The sequence below is a fragment of the Homo sapiens genome, chromosome 8 (assembly GCF_000001405.40).
Source record: "Homo sapiens chromosome 8, GRCh38.p14 Primary Assembly".
Taxonomy (NCBI): domain Eukaryota; kingdom Metazoa; phylum Chordata; class Mammalia; order Primates; family Hominidae; genus Homo; species Homo sapiens.
The window spans coordinates 117378606-117395323 of record NC_000008.11 but is presented as its reverse complement, the minus strand read 5'-3'; the positions used below and the strand labels follow the sequence as shown (position 1 = coordinate 117395323).

The window sequence follows — 16718 nt, the reverse complement described above, 5'->3', positions numbered from 1 at the left end:
TTATTGGCTGTCAGGGGCTGGGTGGGGAGGTTATTCTGGTAAATTCAATGGGGTACATCAAGACTTCCTGGCGACATTACAATCTCACTGTTATTCCTGTTTTTAGGAATCAAATTCGGTTATCTACTGGTGTGATGGTCAGTTTTATGTGTCAACTTAGTTTAGGTTTATAGTCTTAGTTTTTCTGTTATTCAATCAAACATCAACCTAGGTATTGCTGTGAAGATAACTTGTAGAGGTGATTGAAGTCTATAATTAACTGATGGTATGGACTGAATTGCATCTCAGTCCATATGTAATTCAAATGTTGAAGTCATAACACCCAGTGCCTGTGTTTGGAGATGGGGCCTCTAAGGAAGTAATTAAGGTTATGTGAGGTCATAAGGGTGGGCCCCTGATTCTATAGGATCAATGTCCTTATAAGAAGAAACACCGAAGAGACTCTTTTCTCTCTCCCCTCTCACTCTGTCTTTCTTTCCCTGCCATGTGAAGATACAGCAAAAAGGCAGCCATCTGAAAGGCAGGAAGAGAGCCCTTACCAGAAACCGAGCTCTGCTGGACCTTGTCCTTGGACTTTCCAGCCTCCAGAACAGTGAGAAAATCAAATTCTGTTATTTAAGCCATATAGTCTCTGGTATTTTTTTTTAATGGCAGCCTGAGAAGACTAATACAGTTGACTTTAAGTAAGAGAGGTTATCCTCAGTAATCTTTGGGCTCAATTCAATCAGTTCAAAGATCTTAAGAGCAGAACTGAGGCTTCCCTAAGGAAGAGAAAATTTTTCCTACAGACGGCAACTCTGAAGGAGAATTCTATCCTGTCCTTCCTAACAGCCTGCCCTATGAGTTTTGGATGTGCCTACCCAGCTACCACAATTACATAGGCCAACTCTCTGAAATAAATCTCTTAATAGGTATCACCTACTGGTTTGTTTCTTTGGTTTATCCCTGACCAATATGGTTGACTTGTCCATTTTTTTTTTTAATTTTCACAGATTCAGCATTTTATTAATTGTTTTTACTGATTATTGTTTTGTCTTTCATTAGTATCTCAGTTTTATTTTTATTTCCTTCCTTTAATTTTTTTGGCTTAACTGTTTTTATTTTTCCTCTTTTCATTGGATGTAATTCTTCTTTTTTTATTTTATTAACAAAAATATCTACGATTATAAATTTTTTCCTTTTATTACTGCTTTAAATGTATTCCACACATTTTGACATAATGAGTGTTTTTATCGTTAATTTTTACAAAACTTGTTATTCTGATTTTCATTTTCCCTTTACCCAAGAGTAATATAATAGTTTCTTTTTTTTTCTAATTTCCAAGTAGAATTTTTGTTTTGTTTTGTGGTTTTGTTATTAATTTCTAGTTTTATTACTTTGTGATCAGATATTGTTGTTAATATTATTTCTACTTTGTGAATGTATTTTATGCTTTCTTTGAGTCATGACTATATTGTCAATGTTTACAAATGTTTTAGGTGCATTTGAGAAGTTCTACATTTTTTAATCAAGGAGCAAATTACATATACATATATAAATATAGATATTTATAGAAATATAAATATATAATGAATATATAATCAATATATTATTTTCTGTTCACTTAATCTTTGTCTGGGACTGAAAGTGCTGGCTTAAATTCTCCTGATAGTTGTGTGCTTCTGTTCATTTCTCTCTATATCACTTGTAATTTTTGCTTTATGATGGTGGTTTCTGTGTTTCTGATACAAAAATTTTATATGTGTCATGTCTTCATTGAAAAGTATGGCCTTTAGTACAAGAAAGCCTCTCTTTTTTTCGTTTTTGCTTTAGAGCATAAATTCTTATATGATAGAAGGATGCATCCTCTCTTTTCCTTGGTTTCGTTTGACTAGTATACTTTTGTCCCATCTGCTCCACTCATTTCTTTTTTGCCTTTCTGAATCATTTTGTTTTCAGGTATTTCTATTCTATTTCACTTATTTTCTGCACTACGATAGCTCTAATGCTGTAGGACAATGACCTAATCTGGAGGTTATGGAAACTACCAACTATGTCTATTTTAATTACACATTCAGAGATTAGAGAAATGACTGCTAAGTGGTTCCATGAATCCTGTGGACCCATTGTGAGCTGGACCTGGGCCAGGACTCTAATGTGGAGGTGGCATAATAACACTTTGGGTATTAATAATTACTTGGTCCCTACATGCAACAGTCCTTGAAATGTGTGAGTGTTTGCTATTCCCCAGGATTGGGTCCCTATTTGAAAGAAAGAGAACTATTTGAAGAAATCATTGCCATTTTTCCTTGCCATGATTTTGTCGGTTCCTTTCTCCTGGGAACCTGTCCTCCCTTCCAGTCTATAGGATCTGGATTTGTAACTTCATTTGGACAAGAAACTGGCATGGAATCATGACTTTTATATTTGGAATTGGGGGCTGGGAACTTCCCCCTGATCTGCCTTGTGATTATCTGCCACTGAATTCTTTGGCTTGCACACATTGAGCAGTTCCCTAATTGGCTACTCTTCTATTTTGCCCCTAGGAATACCATCTCATAACCCTCTCCATTCTCAGCTCTTCTTGGCTGCTGCTCCAATCTTACCACTTGTTACAATAGCTTCATCCTTAAGGCTGCTGACGAAGCTCACACATTGCTATTTAGTCTTTTGTTTTGAAGTTTTATCATTCTCATTATTATTAGAGAGCTATAGTTTGGGAATGGCATCTTCTGTTGTCAGCCCTAGACTAACAAGCATTAATGAACATCGCAATGACACCGATGTCCCTCTCACCAGCTCCTTCCTTAGCCCTTTGACAAATAGTGGATCCTCTGGCCTCAGTGATGGAATATCACTATCTGGTGAGTTTTCTCACTTTATGTAGTATATCCACTCTGTAGTATATCCACTCTAACATGTCCACTTCTTTGATTCTTTTAATTGTTTCTTCTACTATCTGCCACAAAAATTCTGGAATTTATTTCTCACCACATGGGGGCCATTGCTTTTTTCATACTTCTAGTGGCCATCCTTACAGTGTGTTTGCACCCTCTTCCGAGGGCTTTTTGCCAGGCTGTTAAATACTCCCATACTGATAAATTCCTCTTATCCAGGTTTTTTTCTTTTGCCCTTGGCAGAACATTTTTTGTAATCAGTCTCATGTGTGCTCTTCCAGCTCCTTCTGGTAAATGTTGACTAGGTCATGCAGCTGTGCAGTCACCGTCCACCTTTTTCCAGGCTGAACACACTCCTGGCTGGGTTAGACTATGACTTAACTCTAGGTTTGGACTTAAAAGCAAAGAAATGAGATAATGAAAGATCATGAGTGGGTGCTGATTGTTTAAAGGAGAGACACCTATATCAGGAAGAGGCTGCCCTCCTCTGTTGGAATGGTGAAGTGGTTTCTCTAATCAATTGTTCTCTTTTTGTGGGGGAGGAGTTGTGTGCATTCTGTTTAATGTGATTTTCTCACTCCCTTACCCAAGAGTTGAGGGAATGTACTGATGCTTAGTAGGAGGAGTAGGCTACTTTCTTAGTCTCAAAGGATTCAATGGAATTAGGGCATTCAAGATTTTCAGGTCCATCAACTCAGATTTTGCCATCTCATGTGTCATGATAGAGATTAACCTTCTTTGGAACGCAGTTACTCTTATTATTAAATCTTAAAACCAATCCTTAGGTTTCACTACCTTTCTGTTGCAAGTGATTAGGAAGTTTTTGTTATGCTACCAAGGAGGCTTTCTGCCTTTCACATTTAGATTTTATTTGGTGATTATTGATTATGATTTGATGATGATGTTATCTTTCCCCAGGGCATCCATCAAGCTTAGCAATAGTTTAGCAATAGGTCACCCAATTCCACTCTCCTTAGAGCTTCTATTTCCTTAATTTTTTCCCAATGGCTGATACCTTGCAGCAATTAGTGCATTCCCATTAAACAATACACCATCCCAGATTGCCCCAGTGAAAGTGTTTCACTGCTACTTTATGCTTGATTAACCATCAGTAATGGGGTTCTCATTGCCGGCCAGCTAGCTGGTAAGTGATCCAGCTCCAAAATTCAATTTTAGCATCTGCAAGACCACTTCTGGTCAACCATCACTGGTTACATTCTCTAGGAAGTAAACTATGAGATGCAGATTAGCATGCTAGGTGTATATTAGTAGATACTCTTTGATGAACACCTGTAGAAGGAAGGTAAAGGAAGTGGGATAAGGAAGAAAGTGAAATTGTGCAGTGATGCAAACACAATAAAGGCCTCAGCGAAACCCGTAGAAATCTCTGAAGCTAAGATGGCCTCTCAGAGTTATCCTGAGTTAGAGTAAAAAGGGGAGCTGGGCTTTTATACTTTTCTCTCAATCAGTGAAGGAGGACTTGGGTGGTATTTCACAGCATCTATCGGTCAATGTCTATTATTTTCTTTGTTTTACTTTTTCTTACATCTTTTTGTACTTAGAAGTACTTTTATTTGTGTTCTAGTAGTTATCTATACACTAGCAGGTGAAAAATGTTCTTCATTCTCCTTTTACTTAGTTGGTGTTTGACTATTTGGTTTCTGAGCTTTAACTTACATACTTTGACTCTCACCTTCCTTTTTCATTTCTCTGCCTTTAAAAAAAGCTTCCTCAGTTATTTCTACTTTGGACAAATTTGTCCTCTAGTAGATTTTCTTGTAAAGGGCACATGTACAGTATCCCTAGATTCTTGCATATCTTAAAAATGTGTTTATATAACCTTGACACTTGAAGGACAGCTTAGCTGGATATGAAATCCTTGGCTCGCACTTTCTTTGAGTTTTTTGAAAAGGTTTCTCCACTGTTATCTGTCTTTGCATGTTGCAGTAGGGAAATCTTATGCCAATTTGATTTCCTTTATAAATAATGTGGGGCTTTTTTTGTTGTTTTGCTTTGCAGACCATGAGGACAATTTTCACTACATATTATACACCATAGGTCCTTTTAATTTATGCAAATAGGTCTTTTATTTCTGAAAAAAAAATTGGATTGTGATCTAAAATGTTGTTCTATTGTGTTGTTTTTTTGTTTTTGGTCCCCCAGAGACTCCAATTATATGTATATTGCATCTGCTTTGCCTATGCCAAATACTTTCCCTTGATCCTTTTAAATTATTTCCTTTTTGTTATTTTTATTCTCTGCCCTGTTTTTATTTTCTTGACTATTCAATTGTCCCTACTAAATTTCAATCCAATGTTTTCTCATTCAGGCAATTTGTAATGTCTTCACTTCTAGGATGAATTTGATTTTTTCTACTATTTCTTTCCTGTGTTCAGTCATTTTACATCTTCCTAATTTTTGTTCATATTTGCTATGAGTTTTACCTTTCTGATTTGAGATACTTATTTTACATATACAAATTCTTGTTTTCAGATATTTAATTCAGATGGAGCTCTTATGTTGCAGTTTTGTTCTACTTCATGGTTGACATTTTGGGGAGTATTTTTAACAGCTGGTACATTTTAATTCTTAATTTGTTTCTTTTTTGTCTAACTTTGTATGGATATTATCTACTTTTCATACTTATTTTGAATGTCTAATTTTCTGGACCAGCAATAGCAGTTGTATGCACACAAAAGTGAAAGTTTTGACAGGCTTATCAAGCTCCCTAGTTCAAGACTACCCTCTTCATTTAGTACGGTGAAGTGCAGCTTCTCTAATTAATTTAGCTATTTTTGTGTGTGGAAAATTTTTGTGTATTCCGTTTTGTGATTCCCTCTCACTTTCTCTCTCTCTTAGTTCAAGACTACCCTCTTCCTTTAGTGTGGTGAAGTGTAGTTTCTCTAATTAATTTAGCTATTTTTGTGTGTGGAAAATTTTTGTGTATTCTGTTTTGTGATTCTCTCTCACTTTCTGTCTCTCTCTCTCTCTCACACACACACACCCACACACACACACACACACACGTGCACACACACCAGAAATCTCAATTTCTTGTTTTTATATATATTTTTTTACCTTCACTACCAAGTAAGTGCCCATGGGGCATGTTTCCTTCTCAAGTTGCCCCATTCCCATGCAGAAGTTTTAGTTTCCAATGTTGCTGCTTTGGGTCCTGATTACATGCAAATCCTTTCATTTCTCTCCTTTCTTTCTTGTTTTCCTTTCTTTCTAGCCAGTACTCAGATCTACCAGATTCTACATTTGTTCTTGGTATTTTCCACTGCATGGTGGGGATTTAGCTTTTGGAGGGAATTCTATTTGGATTCTGTTACCCTATTTCTCCTGTGGCCCCTGCTCCTCTTTCCTCCTTCTTTTGGCCTCTTTCATATCTCTGCCTTACTCTTCCCCTAAACTGGATTTTTAAAAAATTTCCCTACTTGCCAGTGTTTTAAGCTCACATTATTGTATTTTCTGTTTCCTGCAGAAAGCATAGATTATGGGTCGTTTTATTTGCTGATTTTATTTATCCAGGTGGGTTTTGGGTGAATATTTAGAAAGAATTAGAGTTAAGAGGCAGCCATTATTCTATGTAAATCTAGAAAAACCAGATGATTAGGTTTTAAGCAGAAGACTGTCAGAAGTAAGATTTAGAAAAATAAAGCTGTGACAGAGCTCAGAAATGTGTTTGACTACTCACTTTCACTCCTCAGGTAAAGAAAGAAAAGGGTGAGATGCTTTCTGCCTTGTTCAGGTGCAAGCAATCCTCCAGGGCACCCAATCTTACTCACCACATCCATCCTAACCACACCCTGGCTCACAGAGGGTGAGGCAGAGAATGAATCATTGGGAGGGTTTTCGTGACTAACAGTCCTTCCACTGTCCTCGGGCCTGGCTATGCAGATTCTCACCTGTACACTTTTCTTCTTCCTGGGGTAATATTGCCCCCAGTTTCTCAGGTCTTTTCAATAGCTATTTTTTACTCACTTTAAGAATTTCTTTAAATATCAGCTATTTCAGGAAGCCTTCTGATGACCTACTGCAAACTGGATGGTGAATATTCTCTTTGTGCAACTACAGGAAACCATATACCTCCCTATCCCTGCACTTGACATGTTATTCTGCTTGTGAAAATGCCTCCACCTATAAAATGTGGATACTTCATGATTCCTTTTTCCTTTATGCATTTCAGTAGCGTCTCTCACAGAGCGTGATATTTAACAAATACTCACTGGTAGAATGAATAGATGAACAAAGAAAGCAACATAACTGCTCTAGAAATGCCTGCACTTTGCATTGTCCCAGCCTATGGGGAAAACGTCTTCCTGACTCTTTTGCTTTGTTATGGTTAGAGGGTCACTGGTTTCTACAGACAATTTTCTATGCTTATGTCCCTGATTCCAGGGCCACTTGGACATGAATTTTAACCAGACTTCCCCCCGGGGCCTGGAAGCATGGAGCATTTTGCTGAGTGTGCTTTTGGGTGATCTCCTTTCTATTCTTGTCTCCAGCCATGTTCCACTGGGGACACAAAAATGAATATATTATCTCAATATGTAGCTAAATAGGAAGACTGAATCCATCTCCAAAGTCACAATATTCTCTTCAGGTACAGGCAGAATAAATTTAGTTATTCTAAATCATGTTGAGGGGCAATAAATGTTCTTCTCTATTAAATTTCCTCTGCATTTCTTTCCTCCCCTCACCTGATCTTTAATTGTATTCCAGAAGAGGGTTTCATAATGAAGGACGACCTGCTTTCATCCAAGATCATTATAATTCTTGCAATTCCAAAGTCTGTTTCTCCCCTCTTCTCTGTAGAACTGAAACTATAAAAGTCTTAAAAGCATGGAACTTAGGACTTGAAGGGACCTCATTATCATCTAACCTTCTCATTTGACAGACAAGCACTGACTTGCCCATAATTATAAAGCTGGTTAATGGAAGAATAAGTAATAAAATAAGTTTCTTACTCACAGTTTTGTGTTCCTTTTGTTTCTGTGTGTCTCTGTATGTATATCTTCTCTCGTCCAAGCCTCCAGGATAGTGACCCCTCCCTTAAATCCCCTAACATATTCTTCTTGTGTAAATGGTTCCAAGCAGCAGTTTGAAAATAATGTTACTACACCATAGAGCCTTGAGATTAATGATATAAGCATCTCCTTGTCATAATGCTTCACAAATTTTAGAGACATTCCTTTTCCTCTCTTTTATTTTTGTCATGAAAAAAGAAATAAAATTTCTCTTAAAAATAAAAAAAATCCAGAATCCTTTCAAGTTTTTTCAGGAGTTTAAACCATTCTTCATCAGTTGCAATTTTCTCTTCTATATTTTCCATTAAGGAAGGCAGAGTTAATAACAAATTTGGAGTCCTGTTAGAGAATTTGCAGTCTCAATTTACTGCCTTCTAGTCCTTTTTATCTTGGCCTTCTCATAAAAGGGAAACTGTTTTCTTTGAACAAAGGGATCAGTAATTCACAATCTTGGTTTTGCCACACCCCAGGGTGTCTTCAACCATAAAATAGTGTCAAGAGATTGTCAAAACAAAATTAATTGAAATTGAAACAATAAATTCCTGCCATAAAATGTCTTCAGAAGGTGAAAGGAAAGGTGTATCATAGAATAAAGCAAAAGGTGAGTTCCCCAAAGGATGAGAATTGTTGATCCAAAGGGAAGATGGAAAATCTTTTACTCTTATCTCACCTGTGTTTTTAAAACCTTGCAGGACATAGAAGGAGGAAAAACTAGAATTGTCAAAACAATAAGCCACATCTTCTTACAAGTCAGGGCCCTCCACAGCGTTTCTGACAGTTTGAACACCAGCTAAAGTTTTTTTAACACTAAATTTAGCATGCACAGGCATTTCAGATCTGTCACTAGAAGCAGGGTGATGTCAGTGAGAAAATCTGGTGTTGTTTCATTTTCACAAGTTTTTCAGGATCTGAAATGGAGTGTTTGTTGAGCATGTCACTGCAAGAGGGGGTAATCATTAGTGATCTGAGAAACAAGGCTTGTTGCGAGGTTAAGAACCTAAAAAATGCTTATTAACAAGGAGAAGGGCTGTCAAAGGGAGGAAGGCAGTGAGACAAACGTAGTATTTATCACTCCTGGGGGCTCCAATTTATTTAGATGCTTTGGAATTCTACTCTTTGGGCCATGTATGTGGTAAGACTAAAGTCACATTCACACTTCAGGGGAATGCTGTTGTAGTCATTCTTAAGAAATGTGTCATGACATGGGGCATCTTTTTATCCTAAACCATTTGTGCTTTGCCTTTCAGACTAAAGTGGCTTCTGAACGTTAGAATTTTAATTAGAAGTTGAATGAAAACCTTTTACCAATGAAGATGATCTTGAAAAACATAAGGCAATAATGAGGTTTTTAGGAAGCAAACCATTTATTATTCTGTGCCCATTTGACTCTCTGCTTCATGTTGAGGGGCAATAAATGTTCTTCTCTATTAAATTTCCTCTGCATGAACTTGCATTTAATTATTTTTAAGGAAGGCTTCATGTCTGCTCTTAGTCTGAAGTCCTCATGAAGAATTTGGAGTTTCACACAATTTAGCTCCCTGTAGAAGAGATTGCTGGTAGCCCTCTTCAATGTCAGTTTGCTCTTTTTCATTAGTCATAGAACCCCAGTTTTATTAGGTTGGCGCAAAAGTAATTGCAATTTTTTCATTAAAAGGGATGGCAAAAACCGCAATTACTTTTGTACCAACCTAATATTGGGTGACAGTGATTTCAGTTTAAAGAAGATATTTCCCCAGCTCTTTTTCAGCTAAGTGTGCCCATGAAATTATAATTGGTTCTTGCCAATGATATGTCAACAAGAAGTTACATGAAAAGTAGAGTAAGGTTTCAAAAGTTTATTAACTCACTGACAAATGTGTCCCTTAGTATACATTTCTCCTCCCTGAAATCTGATAATTGGTTCTGAGGTTTGGAGCTGTAGCAACCAACTGGATTGATGTCATGGTTAATTGTGTGTCAACTTGACTGGACCACAGGGTGCCCATGCATTCAGCTGGATGTTATTCTGGGTATGTCTGTGATGGTGTTCCTGGATGAGAGTAACATTTGAATTGGTAGGCTGAGTGATTGCCTTCCCCAATGTTGATGGGCCTCCTCCCATCAGCTAAAGACCAGAATAGAACCTTTTCCTTCTTTTGGACTCAAACTGAAATGTCAGCTCTTTTGGGGTCTGGAGCCTGCTGACTTTTGAACTAAGACTACACCATCAGCTCTCCTAGGCTTGGTGACTACAAATCTTGGGACTTCTCAGCCTCCATAATCTCATGAACCAGTTTCTTACAATAAATCTCTTTCTATAGGTACACATATCTTATTAGTTCTGTTACTCTGGAGAACTCTGATTAATACAATCCGTAAGGTGGCTTTGAAGGCAGAAAGTGTGCTGTAGGATGATAAAGCAGGAAGATAGAAGGAGCCTTGACTTCTGACAATTTCACTGAATGATTATACTAGTCCTGGGCTGCTAAACTTCGGGGCTTCATGTTATGTGAACAAATAAGCACCTAATTCGTTTAAACACTGTTATTTCAGCTTTCTGTTACTGGCAGCCAGAGGCAATTTTTAATTAATATACTCCCTTGTTACACATAAGCTCTGTGAAAGCTGAAAAGAAAATTTATACTTCTTTGTTTCCCCCTCAGTGATTAGGACAAAGCTTTGCCCAGAGTAGGAGCTCTAGAAGTATTTATAGAGTTATTTTCTTTAACAAACATCTATTGAGCTCCTAATATGTACCTGGTAATGTGCTAAGAGTGTGAAATAAAAGAATGTAAAACAAAAGCTCTTTTAACCAATCTCTACTTAACTATCATGATGGGTTAATCAATGTTCTTCTTTTCCCCTGTAAAAAGCATAAATGTTGGATGCCCTTGGCACTCCACTTACTCCTGAACAGTAGACTACTCTCTACTGTGCCAAGCACTTCTGCTCCCACAGGTTGGATTTTAAGCTTCCAAAAAGTCCATTTTATTTGTTCACAAGCCTAATTATGCCAGTTGCATTTATTATTGTAATTATATAATTATTATAAAACCAATAAAATATGAGTGTACAAAGAAATGGAGCTATTGTTTGTGTAGAAATTAAGCTGAATTCTCTGAAAAGATTAAATAAAGGTGAATCACTAAACAAATGCTGTCAAATTAGGTGGATATTACGTATATAGTGGTAAAACAACTTATAAGTATTTGCATTAGGACATTTTCCATTGCAAATACAAATAACCTATCTTAGATCCATTTAAGCTGAAAAGGTAATTTATTGGCTCATGTGGCCAGGAAGTCCAAGGAAGAATGGCCTTTCTGCATGGTGGGATTTGGGTGGCTTAACTATGTCATCATATATTGTCATCATTTTCCAGCTCACTCGTTGTTTTTGTTGGCTTTTTTTTTTTTTTTTTTAACTTGTTGACTTCATTCTATCCTACTACAGAAAGACTTTCTCTGTATGATGGACAAATTGACAGTAGGCAGCCTGAAACAGACCTCATTGTCACTCATGTTACCAAGGGAAGAGGATCTCTCTCCCAGGTTTAATTGGTCTGAATAGGTCCTGTAATCTTGGACTAATTGCAGGATAGTTCTTTGGGTGACCCTAGATCCCCCAGTTCTCCCCTATTCTACTTTTCCTTTTTAAGAATAACTGTAGAATGTGTTGGAAATGCAACAGCCTGAGATGAAGAAGGACTGGCTAGAAGAGCCTGGTCTCTGTTCCAGACCGTCTTAAGAAAAAGATTATCATTCAGTTCCTTAGCCCAGTGGGTCACGTGACCCTGAGGTATATAACCCAGGGGTAGGCTGCCTTTTGGGGGTCCCTCAGCTGTGGTGCAAGTGGGACATATGTAGAAAAAACTCCATCTGCACCAGGCAGCTTTCCCGAGCCTTCGGGGAATGCCTCACAATGGACCCTAGGCTTCTGTTGTCCCTTGCTGCCTGTGTGTAATAAATGCATTTCAGATAACTTGTTTTGTGTGTGGGCTTCTCTGTCACTTGACTCAGAAACGCTGATAACCAGTGCACAGTGAATCTGCTTCTCACTATTCAGTGTGAACAGTTTTGGGTCACCATGCCTCTCAGTTCTGATTTACTGTCATACCAGAACCATGGGGGTTGAGGCAAAGGTAGAGCAGCCCCAACTTCTCCACTGTGGCAGGGGTCTATTCTGGGGCAGGGCCTGAGAAACGGTACTTGTCTCTCTGTTTTTCTCTGTTTTCCTTAGGATGCTGGAACTATGTGGGGTTTTATTAGCCTCTTCTAGGCCCAGCAAAAGGCCACTTGACTGCACCTCGGAGGACTTGTGAGAGAGTCCTATAGTTCATGAACTGGCTTAAACTTTCTTAAAAAGTTACCCATTGTCGGCTGGGCGCGGTGGCTCACGCCTGTAATCCCAGCACTTTGGGAGGCTGAGGCAGGCGGATCACGAGGTCAGGAGATCGAGACCATTCTGGCTGGCACGGTGAAACCCTGTCTCTACTAAAAATACAAAAAAATAATTAGCCAGACGTCATGGCGGGCGCCTGTAGTCACAGTTACTCAGGAGGCTGAGGCAGGAGAATGGCGTGAACCCGGGAGGCGGAGCTTGCAGTGAGCCGAGATCGCGCCACTGCACTCCAGCCTGGGCGACAGAGCGAGACTCCGTCTCAAAAAAAAATAAATAAATAAATAAAAAGTTACTAATTGTTTCTGGATTTTAGCTTTCTGCACTGTAAAATGAAGACATTGGACTTGACATTCTTTAGGATCGCTTTGAATCCTAAAATTCTACAACTATGACTCTACACTTTTGCTCATGCCGTAAATCCTGCTCAAGGAATATTTTTACCCTTGCAAAATTTAAATGTGTAAACTCTACTTTTGATAAATAGCCTGGTGCTCTGTATCAATCTAGAGACTCTAGGAAACGTTTTTTGTTTTGTTTTGTTTTATTTACTGGATATTTTCAGTACTTTAATTTGAGAAAAGTAGTGACTCCTTTATAGCAAAACCTATGTTTTTCTAAATAAATTCAAATTAAATAGAAAAAAGAGATCATTAAAGAAGGAATAATTGCAGGAAATGACAGCAGGCATATTGGCAGGTGGCGGAAGGAACCTAAGGGTATGGAGAGTCTTGAACAAACATCAACCCATCCCTTTTAGAGAGGATAACATTTGTTCATCCAAAGACACTCAATTTGAACATTGGGCTTTTTTGAAATAATAGAAGATAAATTAATATTATGTGCTTTATGGCAGGCACTGTGCTAAGATGTATGATGTGTCTTTTCTCTTTATTTCAAATGGCAACTTCATAGGGGTAGGTTTTGTTATTAGGCCCACACAGATGAGAGGAGAAGGCCTTGGGTAAGTAAGTAGCTCAAGGTCTATTAAGTAATAAACAGTAAAGGTGAGATTCACATTCAGGGAGCCTGACTCCAGAGGATGGCTTCAACTCAGAATGACTTTGTGGTTTACATTTTTTTTTTTTTTTAAGAGACAGGACCTTGCTTTGTTGCCCAGGCTAAAGTGTAGTGGCACAAATACGGCTCATGGCAACCTCAACCTCCTGGGCTCAAACGATCTTCCTGCCTCAGCTTCCCAAGTAGCTGGGATTACAGCCATATGCCACCACACTCAGCTAATTTTTAATTTTTTTTTTGTAGTGACTGGGTCTCACTGTGTTGCCCAGGCTGTTCTCAAACTCCTGGGATTAAGCAGTCCTCCCATGTTGGTCTTCCAAAGTGCTTGGATTATAAGCATGAATCACTGCACCCAGCCTAGATTCTTTTTTATTACATTTTTTCCTTCCTTCCTAAAAATGTAATTTATTACATTTTTTCCTTGTTTTCCTCTGCCTCCTTGTTTCCTCTGGTAAGTAGTCTAAGTTCATCCCATTGAAAGGAGTACCTTGAGGCACACACATGGTTAGAATGCTAAGCAAGAAATCCCTAAAGGACTGTGACTACTTTGTGATAGTTAAAGAAAATAAATGAGTTTGCTTAAGGGTTTTCCAGCCAACAGAAAAATAAAGACGATCTTGTTGATGACTAAATAGTCTTTTTAGAATTTATTAATATTTATTATTGGAAGCTATTTTAAAAGAAGAGGGAAAAAATTATCCATGTTGCTTGCTCTATCCTGTAAGGTCCATCTGCTATTTCTCAGGTATAGATGCCAAATTACACAATTAAAATAACACATACAAAGGGCTGTTCCTTTCATAAGTTGAAAATCTGTCTGATTTTTCACACTCTCACAAAATCAATGTCTAGAGAAAGATTTTATAAATAAATATGTCCTATGTTGCTGCTGCTTCAAGTTATGATTAAATTAGTCCTCTCATGTGGAAGTTTAAAAAACTTCCCAGGTAAGATTCTACAGACAATAAGATCTAAGTCTTCCCCAGAGATGGACATTTAAGCATTTTCTTTGGTACAGCAGCAAGTCTCTTTCTCTCCTGTTAATCCCATAACTTGTTTTCTTCTTTTAAGATTCCACAGTCTCAAGACGATCTCCCACAAATCCAGCTTTTCTCCCTTTTCTGGGCCACTTTCTATTGTTACACAATATATGGTAATGATTTGTTTCACTACACAGGGACTGTGAGCTCCTTGAGAAGAGGGTCTGCTTGTTCATCTCCCTCCTGAGTGTCCAGCCCCGTACCTGGTATGGGGAAAGTGCTTCACTGTTGTTTGTTGCATAGAAATGATTCTGGGTTCAGAGCTTTCCTCCAGGATGAGAAAGGGCAGAATAACATGTAAGCAATGGTGTGGCCATCGGTCAGAATTCAGAACTAATCTTAGGAGCCAAATAAGAAAGAATGACTATATTTAAATCAATGAATTATCTTGGTTTAGCTAGACTTCATTTATAAACCATTTTCCTGATAGGAAAGCTCCTGAAGGCATTGTCCAAACCACTGTTGTTACTCATTCCCTTCATTTTGTGGTTCAGGCATTTTGAAAATGTGGGGGTAGGAGCAGAAGAAATTAAATTTCATACAAATATGGAAAGAATGGATTTTTGTTATCTTTGTTTGAAGTGATATGTTTGGCTAGTTAGTACAGAATTGAAAAGATTCAAGAGAGTGAGCCAAGTAACACTGATTTTGACATTTTTAATTCAAAGCAATTCTTTAAGCATTGTGCTGTGAACAACCTTAAGAACAGATATGCACCCTCTCCCTCCTTGTTATTTCAGGGCTTAGAATTCATGTCCCACATGTGCAGCTTTATATCATAAAACACTAGTTAAGAAATATTTTCCAGGCCTTATATTACCTAGTGATATACTTGAATCTAATATAAATGTCAAGATAAAAGAAGTTTTCTGTTCTGCTTTGTTTTGTAAATTTCAAATGCTATTACAATAAATACCAGGAAGCAACCAATTTTCTGAAGTAACAGCTTTGTTATCAAATATATTTTCTCTTGATTAACTACCTATTTAATCAACTAAGTTCTGTCTCTGTTATCCACTAATTGATTAATCTCAGGTAAGTAATTTAACCTCTCCAAGCCTCTGTTCCCTTGTTTATTATATGAGATTCTTATGTGATGGCATGAAAGCATATATAAATCCATGGCATAGCACATAAAAATATATTAGAAACTCAATCAGTGCTACTTTTTCTCTCATAAGAAGAAAAAATACTTGAGATGATTACTATGTCACCTCTCAGCCTTCACCCTTTTGGCTAAACAATTCCTTTTAAATATTCTGAATCTCCACAACTATCATTCTTATTATGCTATTCTGTCTTGAACTGTTTTTCCTAGTCACTGTGAAATTGCATGATCAAAAAGAAATTAAGACAGAGTTTTCAGTCTTCATAATGACTCAGCTCCTTGTTACCACAATTTAAATAAAATAAATGGCACAGTTGGCCACATTTTAAGCAAGTTATTTAGTGTTGGCTACAGGTACAGCCTTTGGGAGAACCGAGAAAACTACTTTTTTTTCTAAACAACAATAACAAAAAAATGTATTGCCTAAGTTGTACATTCAAGTCACTTAGGTAACTTTTTATGCCTTCCCCTAAATTTGGAGTAAGCAGAGGGTCTAGAAGTGTTGAGTCAAGCCTAGAAAAAAGATGTTCTCCCTAGCCTCTGGCTTGTAATAGAGGGGGCATGAGAATATGTGTAGAGACCAAATCTACAACCAGCCCTTTCACCCAATCAAAACACCAGTGACAACGATAATGGTTTAACACCTTATTCTACCTCAAAGATGCTCCATTCAGTCGGCAGCTCCGTAGAGGCTGTCAACAGGCACGTTCAGTTTATCTCTACGTTTGTTGGTATGTTGTAAAATAAGAGGGAATCACTCTGAGACACAACACTTTAGTGAATAGCATTGTGTGGGTAGTCTCTAAATTGATTTTTTTTTTTTTGAGCCCATCTTTGCTCTTTTCTAGCCTGCAGATGAGTTCTGTGTTTTTAGCAGATTTGTGTTAACTTGAGAATTAACTTTAAGTTCAGGGAGTTGTGAGTGAACTTAACATTTATGCTGAGTGCCAACCCTTCCTACAGGGAAATTAATATTGTGTCAGTTATTGCCATATCCCAAATTAAGAGGGAGATAGTATGTGTCAAGAAATAAGAGCAGCTAATAAAAATTAGCATTAATTGACTGATTACCATGTGCCAGGTATGATTTTGATCTCTTCACATCTCTTCTATAACTGAATCCCCAACAACCCCTAATTAACATTATTCCCATTTCAAATGTGAGAAAATTAAGAACAGAGAATTTAAATAATTTTCTCAAAGTTTCATAGTGATTAAGTGGTGGAGTTACAGTTGAAACCTGAGTACGCAGTCTAACTTCTTT

The 16718-nt window shown here is 37.6% G+C and overlaps 1 long non-coding RNA gene across 7 annotated transcripts in view, besides 1 other annotated feature; it reads left to right on the top strand.

The window, feature by feature from the left end:
- Positions 1 to 16718, top strand: part of LOC105375716 (uncharacterized) — a 436284-nt gene that overhangs the window by 125397 nt on the left and 294169 nt on the right. For 2 of the 7 annotated variants that reach the window (XR_928572.3, XR_928571.2), the window contains one exon: positions 493 to 592. The exons of the other annotated variants lie outside the window; for them this stretch is intronic. This is a non-coding gene — a long non-coding RNA (uncharacterized LOC105375716). The remainder of the gene's footprint in view (positions 1 to 492; positions 593 to 16718) is intronic. 7 annotated transcript variants of the gene reach the window in all.
- Positions 6046 to 7245: an enhancer, noted in NCBI's record as "CDK7 strongly-dependent group 2 enhancer chr8:118400318-118401517 (GRCh37/hg19 assembly coordinates)". NCBI's record gives its function as "activates an origin of replication core promoter dependent on BRD2, BRD4, P300/CBP, MED14 and CDK7 cofactors, with strong dependence on CDK7, by STARR-seq in HCT116 cells {active_cell/tissue: HCT116}" and the evidence as "EXISTENCE:reporter gene assay evidence [ECO:0000049][PMID:35650434]".